The 15,719-nt window shown below is 48.7% G+C and overlaps 1 protein-coding gene across 17 annotated transcripts in view, besides 1 other annotated feature; it reads right to left on the bottom strand.

Annotated features, from left to right (window-relative positions):
- The window catches only part of DOCK1 (dedicator of cytokinesis 1), a 547,089-nt gene that overhangs the window by 91,268 nt on the left and 440,102 nt on the right, over positions 1-15,719 (bottom strand). For 16 of the 17 annotated variants that reach the window (NM_001377544.1, NM_001290223.2, NM_001377546.1 and 13 more), the window contains one exon: positions 6,522-6,580. In NM_001377544.1, coding sequence (NP_001364473.1) covers positions 6,522-6,580 — 59 coding nt within the window. Of the gene's footprint in view, positions 1-1,504; positions 1,853-3,861; positions 6,581-15,719 lie in introns of those variants that run through there. The other variant, XR_007061946.1, reaches the window with a different exon arrangement.
- Positions 14,400-14,549: an enhancer, noted in NCBI's record as "active region_4196". NCBI's record gives its function as "activates an Ori minimal core promoter by ATAC-STARR-seq in GM12878 lymphoblastoid cells {active_cell/tissue: GM12878}" and the evidence as "EXISTENCE:reporter gene assay evidence [ECO:0000049][PMID:35858748]".

The following is a 15,719-nucleotide window of genomic DNA, read 5'->3' as shown; positions in this document are numbered from 1 at the left end:
CCAGCTACCTGGGAGGCTGAGGCAGGAGAATGGCGTGAACCTGGGAGGAAGAGGTCGCAGTGAGCCAAGATCACGCCAGTGCACTCCAGCCTGGGCGACAGAGCAAGACTCTGTCTCAAAAAAAAAAAAAAAAAAAAAAAAAGAACTACTTTATTAATCTCATTTCACCTATCTTGTTCCAGATATGATTTTTAAAGAACTCAGAAAAATGTTTCTCAAAAGTTTTTCAAATGTGAATAATACTGAATATGATCATATTAGTTAGCATTTACAATTTACATGACAAGCTCAAGATAAAGCATCATCTCACTGAATTTTCACGGTAACCTTACGAGATGGTTACCTTCTTAACCTGTTAAACAGACGAGGAAAGTGGGCTGTACCCAAAGCTGTTCTGTGAGCTGTTCAGAGAAGTGGAGAAGCAGGATTTGAACCTGGGTCTGAGATTATGAAGGCTTAGCTGTGACCCTCATTTTACAAATTCCTTCCCTGTTTGCTTGTCTCAGGATCTTTGCATGGCACTCGGACCCTACCCGACTCTCTGAAAGAGAAATCGTTTGAGCTGTCCACTCCCTTATTTGTCCCCCCTAATTGCAAAATGAACAGAGAGGTCAGTGATCTGTCATTTTCCATCGTTTTATCCCTCACTGTTGAGACATCACAATGCTAAATAAGCCCCCAGAAGGTAGAGACTGGCTTCTCACAAGCACTCAATTTATGTTTTTAATTTCAATGGTTTTTGTTGGAAATCTTGGTATCATACCTTCCTGGGTCTCTGTCGCTGACTTAGAAAGATGCTAGCGCAGGATCACCATCAGGAAATCTGGCGACTGGGCAGAGCAGCTGGCAGCTGGGCCTGATGTGGTGGCCAGCCCCTCCCCCTCCTGCTAGTTGTGGGTTGGCCGCCATTGTGCTCACCCCAGCCGGGGACCCCATATCCTGTGGGTGCGTGGCTGCGGTACTCCTGAGGATCAGGGTGAGCTCCTAAAGAGCTTGAAGTGAACCAGGCAAGTTCAGAGAGATGGGAGAGGGAGGAAACCACAGCAACTGCCAAGCTTCTTTCACTGCCTGGACACTGCACCTCTGGAATGAAGCTCCTGGAAGACTCCTTTCTAAAAATGGGGCTGCGAACCTTAGTTAAGGTGACATAATGAAACTCAGAGGCAGGTCCTATCAAAAAGGTGATCTTTTAAAAGCTGACCCTCTTGTCTTTCAGAAATCTTGATTTTGTTTTCATTTCACCCCACTGCAACTAAAACCATTTCATTTCCAACATATAACAGAAGAATGCCTGAGAAATTAAATGTTTGAATAAAATATGTGCAGTATTTTAACACCAGCAATGTATCCCGAATTAACCAATCTTATTAATATTTCTACACAATCAGGAAACCAAATTCTTTAGTTTTCTTTGCAACTCAGTGAATATACATTTCTGTAAAGAGAATCATTAAAGAAATGTGGCTACTATAACGATACTTAAGAGAATACGTAATCCTCATAATTAGACTGAATTACTTTTTATTGGGTGGACATACACACAAAATGTAATTAACATCTTATTTTCAACTTTTACTAAATAATTAATATTTTGACTAAGGCTATCATTGTGTGATTCTCACCACTTTCCCAAATGCTTAATGTTTCTGAAAGTCCTGTAACTGCTGCAAAGCATTCTCTTGAAAATGCTATTATATTCCATCTCTCAGGTGACACTTTCCTTGTATTATGCCTAAAAAATGTCAGAGCCAATGTTTCAGAAAACAGATGATGGTGACAGCGAGTTGTTCATCAACCACAATTTCAGCGTCATAAAGTTCTGTCTGTCACCAACAGGTTTTATTGTTCCAAGCTGGGAAAAACATAGAAAGCAGTCACAAGTGGTTGTAGAAGCAGGGATTGGAAAAAGAAGCTACCAAAACGACAGTAGCTTAACCTTTTATTATCACCCTCCTTATTAGTACAGAAGACACACTGGCCTGGAGCTGGTACTGGGTTCTATGGATAGTGACAGCCCTGGGCACTGACTCTTCGTAAACCAGTGGTCCCCAAGGTGAGCAGGAGTGGGTGGGGAATGTTCTCTGGTAGCCACCTTTTTTTTTTTTGACATTTGCATTATAGATTTCCCCTGGAGCATATCTTGCTCAAATTTAATGATGAACTCAGGTTTGGAACCAATGAGGACCAAGGTGACTCCTGCAGTGTAGACTTAAAGAAAAAGAGGACACACTTTTGAGCCAAAGGAAGGTGACGAGGAGAATATTTTACTTCCAGTCCTTGCCGGTCTCATAGCCCATCTAGAGTCTATTTTAGTTACAGAACGTGGAGCTCTTTCCCCTGGGAACAACATCTTGTTTTCTCACGAAGCCAAGGCCTCCCTAGTCAGAAGCCTCCCTGTGGGTGTTTAAATTATCTCTTTGCAATCACTGGTGTTCAAAAATCTGGGACATTAAACATAGACTTATCCCAGAAAAATCTCTGTATACACAAGAGCAGGCAGAGCAAAAGCTTCCACCACCTGGCCACACCCATTAGGCCACAATGTATACGGGTTTTAATGAAAAGCACACAATTTGCCCAGTCGCCAAAAAACACCCATGAAGGGAATCCCTGCATGAAAAATATCCCAAACCCAACGCGGTGGATAAAGATCTTGCTCCAAGCACATTCGTTCTGGCTGGCTGGGGTCTAGTGCTCGCTCCAGTGTGCTGGATGTAATAAACAAAATGTAAATTGAGGCGGCACAGGCAAGGAGATCAGGTGCTCCGGCAGGCTGCTGCACAGAGTGCGCTTTGATAAATAACTCAGGAGCTGGGTAAATAAGCACATTTTCCCCCCTTTTTTCTTTTGAGAGAGAGCCTGCTTTTGATTTCCCCTTTCAGACTCAAAATATGACAGGTTTGGGAGGGAAAGAAACACATCACTCTGTCCCATGGGGCAGTGCCATGTTTGCCCTTGCATTAAATTGAGCAAAACAGACCCCAGATCCTTGCTCTGAGGCTGGGCAAGGAGGAGGCAAGAGCTGAGATGCTCCTCTCTATGGGCCATGCATACTATTGGAAAGACTGAAGGAGGAGACTCATGGAGCATTCAGCTGAAGGTCTGCTCAAGTGACAGTTTATTAATTGTAAGCAGATAAATAGATCTGATTTCCATTTCTATTTTCTTGGCAGAGTCGGTGCTATCATCCTGCCAATATGTTCCCAAACCTGCACCCATTTACAAAAAGTAAAATTAAAATAAAAAAAAAAAAACTATGTAGAAAGTAGGTTGTATACATCCTGGGAAACTGAGATGTGCTGTCATAAATTTGGAGTGTGACAGCCTTGGCAAAGACACTCAGGCACCTGGCACCATGGCAGGAAGGAGGCCACCCCGTGGTGCTATCCTTAGCCATCCTGAGGGGCTGCTTGGGGAGGATCCTGTGGGCTGCAGGTGCTTTTAAGATCACCTCCCTCACTTTGAAAGATAACTTATTTTACCAGCAAGGAACCCAAGTCTGGTGGCTGACTGTTACTTCTTGTTGTTTCCAAGTCCCTGACCCTAATTGGCTTTGGTTTACTTTTGACCTCTTGGCCGCTTCTCAGGCCACAGTCAGTGTTCCTGGCTAAAAAGCTGCAAAACACACACCTCATGCATTAATCACCATATTCAAATCAGCCACTGATAGGAGGGAAGGGGGGAGCTTGCTCACTTCACTGCAACCTTTTCCAAATCAAAAGTCTCCTGTCGCTTGACTTGGCCTATCTGGAGCATGACAGATAACGTCAAGAGAACCAAGTGCTCTGTGTCAGACCCAAGTGTATCCTCAGAAGGCCAGGCCTGCCCAAGCACTTGGAGAGGGCACGCGGAGAAACTCACCCTTTCTGGGCCCGCCTTTCCTTCCTTCATTGTTATCATGGCACGTAGCACAAATTGAAATGGAGCCACTTTCAGTGGTGATCAATCTCAGGGACTACAGAGGTGACATTAACTATACTTGCAAACAAAAACAAAAACAATCCCAAATCAGAAAACTAGAAAGGCAGGAGCACCCATCAGTCAGGGTGACCTCTGGCCAGCTGTGGCTCGAGCTGAGTTTTAGAGGCTCCCTTGGTGCTAGGCAATGACCTTGGCACATGGAGAGCAGTGGAGGATCCTGGGGGTGCTCAGGGGCCAGGGTGAGTCAAATGGTGGCTGCAGTTGTGTACGGGGAGAAGGAAGCATTTCAGTATGTAATGACCCATCAGACCCTCCGCTAGGGTGGTGTCTCTAATTATCATAAATGATGTGAAATGTTACCGAGCCATTCCAGAATGAGAACCTTCATTTGAAAGTATATGTGCAAGTGTCCTCTTGGGGGAAATAGGCAATTCCCTGTCTATACTTTAGAGTTGAAATGGAACAACACAGAAGAAAATGGACTCACTCTTTTAGGAGGGGCCAGGGTAAAAGATGGCCTCAGAGAGAGCCTGTGTCCAGAGAAGAGGTCTGGGGTCTGCCCTGAGAGCCCAACTGTGGCAGGTGGAGCTCATATCACCTCCTTCATGAACGTTGGTGCCTATAAAAGTCCTGGACTCACTGAGTTCCAACAGAGAACAGCCCCCCTCCATGCCATTGCTGTGAAAGCCCTCCCCCGTCTCCTGCCTCTCTCTCTCTCTCATGGGACCACACTGGGTCCCTGCCTGGTGTGGGGCCTGCCGTCTGGCCTAACAGAGCAAATGACAGATGCATCTGTCAGAGCAGGATTTTAACAAAGAACACAGAGAGATCAATTGGAATGAATCACGGATGGTCCTCCTCCCTGTTCTAAAAGCCTTAGCACGTTATTACTGAGATCATCGTATATATATGTCATAGAATTATTGAGTTTTGGAATTGGAAGGCTCTTGAAAAATTCAGTCCAACCACTTTATCTAACGGCCCAGAAAGACTGAGCCATGTGAATCAGGCCTCACGGGGAGGCAGGAGTGGGAGAGGATGAAAACTTCAAGGTGGGACTTATCATCTCTCTTGACTCTGAGCCTAGAGCCCCTACCTTCCTCCCTGGGATGGCAGGAAGGCCAAGGACAGGATGGTGCCTGGTAGGTATCATGTTGCAGAGATCAGCAGGCCCTTTGACAGCTGAGACCCAGTACTCAGATTCTGGACATAGGAGCTACTGCAGCAAAATCATGTGCAGAGACCTAGCACAGAGCTTCCTCGAGGAGTCCTCCACTGACTCCAGGACTGACACGCAGAAAGGATGCAATGGTGCAGGTTCTCTTTGTACTGGGAGGGCACAGGCAGACAGGGCCACTCTGACCCGCTCTTCATCCCCACCCAGGAGCATCTGCTGTGGCTTTCCATTCCTGAGAACCTAACTGGGCCTCATGTCAAACCAAAGAATGGCAAGGAAGATGCAAAAGCAAACAGTGAGCTAGAAGTGAAGCGTGGCTCGCTGGGTTCTGCTTCTTTCTTGCCATGCTCTCCAGCCACTGCAGGGAGTCACAGCTGCTTGGGAAGTAAGCAGGCTGGGGTGCAGCTAAGTTGTCCCAACCCTGGTGCAACAAGTGAAACCCTAATGCTACGAGGCTAACAGAGTGATGCGGACAGACCCCTGCCTCCTTCTAGTAGGAAAAGATTCTCTGAGGTAGAGGGGAGAGTGGAGGGTTTCTTGCAACAGGCCAATGCAGGCTTCTCGTGTCCATTTGAAGGAAGGAAGCAGAGGCCTGGAGATCCTGGGGCAGAAAAGCAACTGATGCTTTGCTCAGGACTGAGGCAAGGCCACCAGCACCCCATGGCCTAGGACACCTCGGCACAAAGCAAGCCCGAGGGCTGACGGCAGGAGCCAGAGAGAGCTTCATCTCAACGAGGAGTGAGGCCAGATTCCTAGAGGGTAGTGTAAAGATGCTGGGAAGATACCAAGTTATTGTCAGTCATTGATTTCTTGAAGGGGCTTATCTATAAGAATTACATGTCACATTGGTTAAAATTTTAATAGAGAATTTATTCTTACTGTTCATGATAAAAGTAGTTGGAAAAAATTACTTAATTTACAAATAAACTCCTATTAATTTCATATACACACACAGACCCTTCACTGCTTTGAGTGCAGGAGCATGTTAGGCTGCCACCAGGTAGATCTGGTTTTGAGGAGGGGAATTAACCCTTTAGAAGGCAGAGTCTGTAAAACTGAATATGGTAAGTGATGGCAAATGTCACAGCAGGATGAGCTTCCTATTTGACGCAGAAGGAACTGAGGCAACTGAGGGAGGGAGGCAACACCAGGGAGGGAGGAGCTCCAAGCCACGTGTCCACACAACACAAGAGGGTGCTCTGTGGATTTTTCTTTTTGCCCCACCCGTGAGATTTTCTTTCCTTGCCTTTGGTCTTCTATCTCTTAATTCCTGAAAACAGTTACTACAAAGAGTAGCAACTGCTGTCCAAGGAACAGAAGCCATTAAGATCTTAAGACATCCCAACACTGATGAACACGGCCAGTGCCATGACCCACCAGGGATGCAAGATATTCACTATGCCCCCACATCCAGGCTACTCACCAAGGTTGTACCACATGTCTCTGATTTCAAAGCCAATCTGTCTCCTCATATCTCCGTACCTGGAAATCAGGGAAAAGAAAAACGCTGAATCACTCCGGAAGGCATTTGAAAATCGGACTGGAATTATTTTTAAGTGCAATTAAAGCCTTCTAGCACTGAGGCAAATAAAGAGAGTGTCAAAGCTTCAACTTCTCTTGCCACCAAAATGAATCAAAGGAGGAGGAATCTAGCTGGGGGAAATCTCACTTTCTCATCACTGAGGGTTACACAACATCTTCCCCCCGGTGGGAACGTGGAGGAACTTGTGGAGAGTCATGAAAGCATTTCCCTTTCTTCAATCTCTTGGCTCCTGGGCCCAAGGGGGAGCTTGGTTCCATGCATGTCGTTAGCGTCTAGGCACTGCAGACACCACATAACATCCTACTGCACACAACAGGTTGCTTTCCAAAGTTAAAATTAAATCCAGAGTCAGGGCAGACCTCTTCCAAAGTTCTTGCATTCCTCTATGTCATTTTAAATGTAAGGAAGGGCTTAACACCAAAAGATGCCAACAAATCTTCCACTGTTTTTGTTTATCAGGGAAAATAAATGCTAATTTTCCTCTCGATGGGTGCATAGAGGAGGTGTGTGTTTCATGAGTAAACAGAATTTGATGCTCCAGAAGATAAACCTTTATTAGTTTGTGAGCAATTTAACTTTTTCTTTTATTGCCTAAGGAAAAAGCTGATATTAAAAATAATAATTTGCAAAATTATCATACAGGATTACAGTTGAGCAGCTGTGTCATCGAGCCTGCTCTGCTCATCCTCGTGTCAGGAGATGTGAGAAGGAAAGCACTGATTACAGAAGAGCGCACTGTGGTTCTTGAGGCGAAGATCCTGGCCGGTAAATCAACAACCGCGGCCAGCTGCCACCTTATTAGAGAAGACTCTGGTGCCCTAAGCACCTGTCTGTCACTCACGGCATGAGTGGGCTACAGCCAAGAGTGATCATCTCAACCACAGAAGATCAATCTCACCTGGCAGCTCTGCTGTGGTGCGTGGGAGGCCATGCGCCTTGGCCCACAGTGCTGGTGAAGAAAAGGAACTGGAGCCTAGGCCACTCCCTACCAGGACACGCTAGCTCTAAGCGCAGCCCTAAACCAGGTGAGCACTGATGCAGGCAGACTCGGTTAAGGAGGGGGCATCTCAGCTGGGGAGACGGCCCAGCATTGAGGCCATGGTAGGAGAGGCCCGTCCATGGTTGGGGAAAGCACGCAGGCAGCAAAGCTACTGGACTTGGGTGGGTGGGAGAGAGGAAAGCGCCCTGCATAACTCACGCCCCCCAATTGCCCAGGAAACACACGACCTGAACACTGCTTGGAGGCTTGTAGTGCTGGCTCCCCCATTCCCATTTTGCTCCTGCACTAATGACAAAGGGATCCCAGCAGCTGCTGCGGCCAGGGCTGGGAAAGGATGCAGTTGGCTGCAGGGTGACCTGGCAGGCTGACGTCCTTGCAGCATTTCCCAGGGGTGGGACACACAGAAAGCAAAACTGTGGTGAAGCCCTGTTCTAATCTTTCCTCTGAGGTTGGTGAGGTTCTCGATGTGCAGGTGGGTGAGTCCCCTTCCAGCCAAGCAGGGGTTGGACAAGCCCAGGAAAGTGGCATCAGAAAGAGGTGGCCCCCCTGAACACAAACACCCCCTGCGCCCATGTCCCCCAGCAGAGGTGAAATGCTCACAGTGGGATCGGCCTAGCATGTACTGACCCACTCAAGCTCTGCACATGCTTCTCACATCCCAGCTACACAGAGTTCTTCTCATTCTGGGATGATTCCCTCAAAATAGGAAGGCCCAGGCCAGGTGCGGTGGCTCACGTCTGTAATCCCAGCACTTTGGGAGGCCGAGGCAGGTGGATCACCTGAGGTCAGGAAGTCAAGACCAGCCTGGCCAACATGGTGAAACCCCGTCTCCACTAAAAATACAAAAATTAGCTGGGCGTGGTGGCACATGTCTGTAATCCCAGCTACTTGGGAGTCTGAGGCAGAAGAATTGCTTGAACCTGGGCGGCGGAGGTTGTAGCGAGCTGAGATCTCGCCACTGCACTCCAGCCTGGGCGACAGAGAAAGACTCTGTATCAAGAAAAAAAAACTGGCCACTGCTAGGCTGAACTTCATCAGTGTCTGTGCCTTGCTGGCCCCCGACTCAGTTACTTCTCTCAGGTCCCAGAATGATTAGAATGATAATGATCCCAGGGAAATCCTAAAGTTCAGACATCCTAAAGTACATGATACTCAGCTGCAGTGGATTTTCCACTTGCGGTTTGGGTAATTCAGGAGTGACTTGCTGTGTTTCCAGAGCTGGCACCACAATCTGGATTTGGGAGGCCAGGTGCATCCGCTCCTCCCCATCCTCTTTGCCCCTCCCCACCCCTCCCCGCTCCTCTTCACCCCTCCCCGATGCTTCCCACCCCTCCCCACCCCTCCCCGATGCTCCCCACTTCTCCCCACCCCTCCCCACCCCTCCCCGATGCTCCCCACCTCTCCCGGATGCTGCTCCTCCCCACCCCTCCCCGATGCTCCCCACCCCTCCCCGCCTCCCTGCACAGTGCTTCTCCCTTGGGTGGTGAAGGAGGCTGAGGGGTGAGGGATTTCCATTCTCAGATAGACTTTACTGTCCTGTAGGTGGAAGATGACAGTTGCTGGTAGTATTTGAGAACTGGGGGATTAGCAAGGATACAAGAGCCCACCCCTCAGGAGAGCCGGGCCTGCGGGCATCAAGGTGCTAAAGATGCGGTTTTAATTGTCAAATAGGACAAGGGAGCAGCAGCAGTGAGGAAGAGTGGGGAGCTGTGAGGGGAAGGGCCGGCTGGAGGTCCCTGGCAGTGAGAGGGATCTTTTCCTTGGTTTTAATAAGAAGGGAGCTTTGATGAATCTATACATGCCCCAGAGTAATCCCCAAATAAAGTCACAGCTGTCACCAGACCTCAAGGGGGCTTCCCAAGCCATTTCTTAGTTCTTCCCATGGAGGAGGAAAAAAGGATAATTGAGAGCGTAGGGCTAATAAAGCTTATTGCCTGGAAGCAGAACCCCGGGCTGGTGGCAGTCCTGGGGACCATAACTAAGTTCCTCTCTAGCAATAAACAGCCAAGGGGACTGCACTAGTCATACAGGAGAGAAGCAAAATGACATGGCCATCCTCACCGGGAAGGAGAGTAGAGAATCCAAGTCCTCAGACTCCCACACCCACAGCACGCACCCCCAGGACAGGGACTTTCCATGCCTCCACAGCACGACACAGCGTCACATCTTTCAAAGTGCTTTCCTTTCACTTGATTTTGGAATAAGACTATGAGCTGAGCAAGCTGACATTTCTGTGCCCATTTTCTCAATAAGAGCTGAGATTCACAGTGGGGAACACACATGCCCGACTCCACCGAGCCAGGATGGCCTAGAGCTGGGGTCACCGTGCTCTGCCCAGAGCTTCTTACCTGAGCCCACCCACGGTGTGAGTGAGCAGGAGAACCTACGCTTAGGAGGCACACTTCCTATCGTCCAGGGAGATCTGGGATCCCACATCCAGGCTGTAACCCGGACATAAAATCGTGTGAATTTGGTCCCTGTGGCCTAATCTTAGCACCTGGTTTCTTGCACCTTCACTCCAAGAAACATACCCCCGAGTGATAGCTCAGGCTTGGGGGTAAGGCCAGCCTGAGCCTGAATCTAAGCACACCGGGCAATTTACTTGACCACTCTGACCCTCAGTCTCCTCATCTGTAGTGCTGCCAGAATGGTGCATGGTGCTCAATCCTAGGCTTTTGTGAACAACAAGAGAGTGATGATGTCCCTGTCTATCTGGCAAGCACTGGAGCCACTCTAGGTCCTTCCTTTAAAATCTCAGGCTGGGCACAATATTCCTCTCATGGTTGCAATGGTCATTTAGATCGATTCATTTAGTGAACATTTATTGAGCACTTGGGCCAGACACAAAGCTAATGTGGAAATATGAATATTCATATTGGAATATTAATATTACTATGATATGGAGAACAGACAAGACTCACAAACCACAGTGGGCTATGAGCATGGTAGGAGAGACGAACATTAATAAAATAATCACACAAGATAAACACGGATAGATACATAGAGGAATTGTTTCTGCAAAAGCCAGGATCATGGCTTTATAGGGAAAACATGGGAACTGTGAGAAAATGTAACAGTGGGCTCAGCTTGGCTCTGGCAGGAGTTCTCTAGGACAATAATATTTGCTCTGAGATTTGAAGGAGAGACGAAATCTGGACGAAGAGGGTAGGGAAGAGCATTCTGGGCAGGAGGACCAGCAGGCGCCAAGGCCCCATGGCAGGGAGGGAGTAGGGGAGTGCCTGGTGGGTGGGGCTACAGAACACAGAGCTGGCTCCTGTTTGAGAGACCAGGGGGTGAGGGGTGCACCGTGAGCAGAGGCTGCAGGAGGCAGGTTTTTTTTAAAGCGTCCCCGCTGCCGCCACTTTTTTTTTAAGTTTCATAAACTTTTCTGACATAAAAAATACATGTATTAACCAGCACATATATTAATATACATGCATGTGTATAAAGTTTTATGAAATGATGCTTAACCTTACTGCCTGCAATGAATGCTGATATTTTTTCCTAGATTCTATTTCACTGAAAAAAGAAAAGAAAAGTCTATTGGTCATGACTAGTGTGGGTTGGATTGTCTCCCCTTTAAAGCTATGTTGAAGTCCTAAACCCTGGTATCCATGACTGTGACCTTATTTGGAAATAGAGTCTTTGCAGATGTACTCAAGGTAAGATGAAGTCATACTGGAGTAGAGTGGCCTCTAGATCCAGTGACCTCTGTCCTTATAAGGAGAGGGAGATTGAGAGACACAGACACATAGGAAGACACAAAGAAGAAGGCCACAGGAAGATGGGGCAGGGATTGGAGTAAAACAGCCACAAGCCACGGAATGCCAAAGACCGGGGCAGCCACCGGAAGCCAGGAGAGAGGCAGGGAATAGCTTCTCCCTCAGAACCTCCAGAAGGAACCAACACTGCCCACACCTTGATTTGGGAATTCTGCCCTCCATAACTGTGAGACAATCAATTCAAGCCACCCGGTTTGTGTTCACTGTTATGGCAGACCAGCCTAGGAAATGGATATGATGGCCCTTTAAGTGAATATTCTGACCCAATCAAAGGTTGAGACCTGCAGTTTGAAAAATGCTTTCCTAAGGAAAGAGAATAGAGTGTGAAGGCCTAAGACCAAGGTGTGCGGAACCCCCACCGCCACTTGATGCTGGGGTGCAGGGGTAGGAATCTGACAAGAGAGAGCAGACACCAAAAAGCTTGGAGAAAAGCTCAGGAGAGTCCTGAGAGCGAAGAAAAGCATGTTCTGAGATGGAGGGAAAGAAGAAACATGTTGAGGATGTGGGGAGAACATCTAGGGAGCTGAATACCCTCCATCTGCTTGGGGGCAGCCAGGACCTGGCTGAGGTTCTGGGGCAATGCAGTGCCCAGAGCCAGCATCGGAGTGGGTGGGAGGTGGGGAAAGGAGACAAGGAAAGGGCTGAGATGGACCTAAAGGAAGCTGGAGGGAGCTCATGGCTGGGGTGAGGCATTTTTAACTTCATGGGAAAGACTGGTGGGTTCCTAAAGAGGTGAGAGGGGGTGGGACATCAAAAACAACACCACCGGTGCATGTGGGACACAGTGAGCTTTTCTGACTTGAAGTTGGCACAGGTCACCACTTGTTAAGTCTAACTCCCTGAGTCTCCTTCTAATAAGTGAATTTAATTTTGAATAATTTCAGTCTCTTGAAAAAAATGAGCACAGACACAAATTAAATTGATCGTATCTCCTGTTATAATCAGGAATATACAATTGCAGCTTCTGATTAGGTCACGCTGCAAAACGGCATGCATGGCATGTTTATTTCCTGTTAGTTTCCTTAAAGGTAGTATCTAGAGTTTGACATAATCTTCTGGAGAAGATTCTGCAGAACCCAGTGTTTGGTCAGATGGGGATATTTTGGTCCCATTGTGAAACCTATCCTCTTAGAACACTGCAGACTTCTATAATTACAAAAAAACAAAAACAAAAACAACCCACCCACCCCGCCAAAACTGAAAACAGCCTAGGGACCAGGTGGGGAGGTCTTTGTGGATGGTCTCTCTGCACTGAGCTGGACTTTGCCATCAAACTTAACCTCTTGCGCTGAAATTTTAAGTGAGCATTTTATGCTTAGATATGTGGGAGGCCCAATTCATGAACCCTGTTCCTCTTCCGGTCCTGAACACAGAAGCTCCTTTGCAGTCATTCAACACACTGTCCCACACCAGGATGCACGTGTCTTACATAACAAAATTATCAAGCTGGCTGCTAATCAAAAGTCATTCCTTTTACATTTTAGACATATTTCCTGCACCCCAATAATGTAAAAAAGGCTAGGGGGCTGGGATGGGAGGAAGAGCTGCTGGTCAGGCTTAGAATTCTGTTGACATCTCTGTCCTTCCTTGGGAGTCACTAGCACCAAGGATGTCTGAAGGTTGAGCCAGTTAAATTTTCATATTATGGACTTGATTCCTAGGGGTTATTTATTTTGTGGTACACTGGCGAATCTCATACTCAATTTGGGTCTGACATAATCAGTTCTCTGCGTGGTATGGCCCATTCTTTTATTTACTCCCATGCACTTTGGGGAATGTCTTTAGAATGAAAATCCTAATTATCTCCCCAACCTCAGTCATTAGGAGGATGGAGCAGGCAGGTTTCCTGATGCTGGAATTTCTATTGTTTTGAGCCACAAAGCTGTGGACCAAGCAGATGTGAGGAGCTGCAAGGGCTTAGCAAGGGGGAAGGGAAGGGATGGGAAGGGAAGGGAAGGGAAGGGAAGGGAAGGGAAGGGAAGGGAAGGGAAGGCTGAGGGGTTGGGGATGCTCCCTCAGATGCCTTAGGTTGGATTCACAAGCCCTAGAGTAAGAGACAGGCCCCAGATGGAGGCAGTGCTGAGCCTACTAAGTGGGTGTGTCATGGCTCCACCTTTATACCACATGCCTTTCCCCCGAGAAACAGACAGGTGCATGCATCAAGCTCCACGGGGCTCCAAGTCAGCGCCCATCGTTTGCCCAGAGTGTGAGGTTGACTCCCAGACCACGAGCCCCCACACCCCGCCCCAAGCTCCAAGCTGCTCCCTTACACTTCGACAACCCAGATCATGTCTCTGCTCATATGTAGATGGCGCCATGCCCTTTGGCACTCGATGTCCCGTGGCAAACCTCTCAGCTGCCTTCACCACCCAGCCGGGAAGCCCAAGCTGCCAGGAGGCCTCTGTCTCCCACGGCTGAGCCCCACGGGCCGTCTCCGGGCTGCCAAGGCCCTCCGTCACCACTGCATGCGTGCCCCACTCCACTCATGATTTTTGCTTCTCCATTTACCCCACTAGACCATGACCTTCTTCGTCACGAGGTCTGTGTCTTTGTCCCCGGCACCGGGACCATGGCCCGACTGAGCACAGAGTGGGCACTGAATCCCTTTTATGCGGACAATTTTAAACAAATCACATTTCTAGGCACTGTATGTGCCTGAGAAAATTTAAGCATTGGGGTAGGACATCGTCATGTATTTCTTATGCAGGTTTTGCTATTTAGAAATAAAATTTGCAAATGGACTATGAAGGGCTGAAGGCTTATCAAGTGGCATGAAGACTACAACAAATAGGGCTGACCCTCCACACGTGTGTGCCGCGTGGCCTGAAGGTCAAGGCAGTCTTATCTCAGGCTCCGGGGGCTTTGTCCTGGATCTCCTGTCACCTCCACAAGCGGAGCAGAACTCATGCCCCTGGAGAGGCCCCTCAGACAGCACAAAGCCCTGAGGCTGTCCTGCCAGTGTCTTGCAAAGACAACTTCTGAACTGCCTGGGGACTTTCCTGGGGGAAATCCAGAGTCTCCTGTTGCTATCGTTGTGACAAAGAGAATACGAAAGCCCTAGGCAGAGGCCCTGGGTGGCTCCTGAGGGGGCGACACCAGCTGGCTGTGTGTAATTTTCCGTGGCTTTGAAGATTCTGAATCCACGCCACTACGTGGGAAGCAAACGTTTTCTTTAGTAGCCAAGGCCCTTCGAGGTTAATGTTTTTTTTTCTTTTCGTTTTGGTTTTTGAGACAGACGGTCTCACTCTGTCAGCCAGGCTGGAGCGCAGTCGTGTGATCATGGCTCACTGCAGCCCCGACCCCCTGGGCTCAAGAAATCCTCCCACTTCAGCCTCCTGAGTAGCTGGCACCACAGGTGCGCGCCACCACACCTGGCTAATTTTTGTATTTTTTGTGGAGAAAGGGGTGTTGTTGTGTTGTCCAGGCTGGTCTCAAACTCCTGGACTCAAGTGATCCTCCCATCTTGGCCTTCCAAAGTGCTGGGATTACAGGTATGAGCCACCGCACCGCTGTTAGTGCATGTCTTGATGTTGCCTTAGGCTCTTAACGCTCACACCAACAGAAGGAAGGGCCCAGCACACAGCTGCCCTGCTGGGGCTTGCGGGGTGCTCGGCCCCACCACTAAGAAGATGCCAGCTCTTTTGAGGCAGATTTCCAGTTTAAATTCACCTCTCTTCTCCCGCAGGCATCTCCGAGGCCAGGAGCTGTGGCTGGGCTCGGGTCCCAGCTTCACCCAATAGCGGGCGCTGGACACTTGGGCAGGTGGCTTCACCTGCTGTGGCCGAGCTGTCCTTTTGCTGGACGGGACAACAAGGGGCGCGTGCTGAAGGAGGTGTGTCCGCACCTGGTGGATTACAGTGCGTTGAAGTGCGTTGTGCCGCACTGTGCTTTGTGTGTGTTGGTCACTACCGTCTGCACTACAATTCCCAGCACAAAGGCAAATCAACAAGAACAGCAACAATTACAAAGCACCATCCCTCCCTTCCCCTGGGCCCTGAGGGAGCGTGCATTCCACAAAGCAGGAGCCTGCGCCCCTGCTGAGCCAGTCTCCAGAAGATGCAGCCTGGAGAAGTCTGTCTCTTGATGCTGGAAGCCAGGACGAGCGACAGACACCTGTGCAGGCCCCAAGGTGGTGGGCTGCAGCTGCTGCGTGCCGCTTCGGTAGTCACAGGCGAGCACCCACTCTGCCTACACCATTCTCAGTGCTTGGCTCAGCAAGTGCATTTCTTGTTTCTGAACAATGATCACTGTTTACACAGATGGCTGTCAGGCAGGAATCACCCAGCTGAGGAGGCC

This window comes from Homo sapiens, chromosome 10 (genome assembly GCF_000001405.40).
Source record: "Homo sapiens chromosome 10, GRCh38.p14 Primary Assembly".
Classification (NCBI taxonomy): Eukaryota; Metazoa; Chordata; class Mammalia; order Primates; family Hominidae; genus Homo; species Homo sapiens.
The sequence above is the reverse complement of the archived record's forward strand: the minus strand, read 5'-3'. Positions and strand labels throughout refer to the sequence as shown.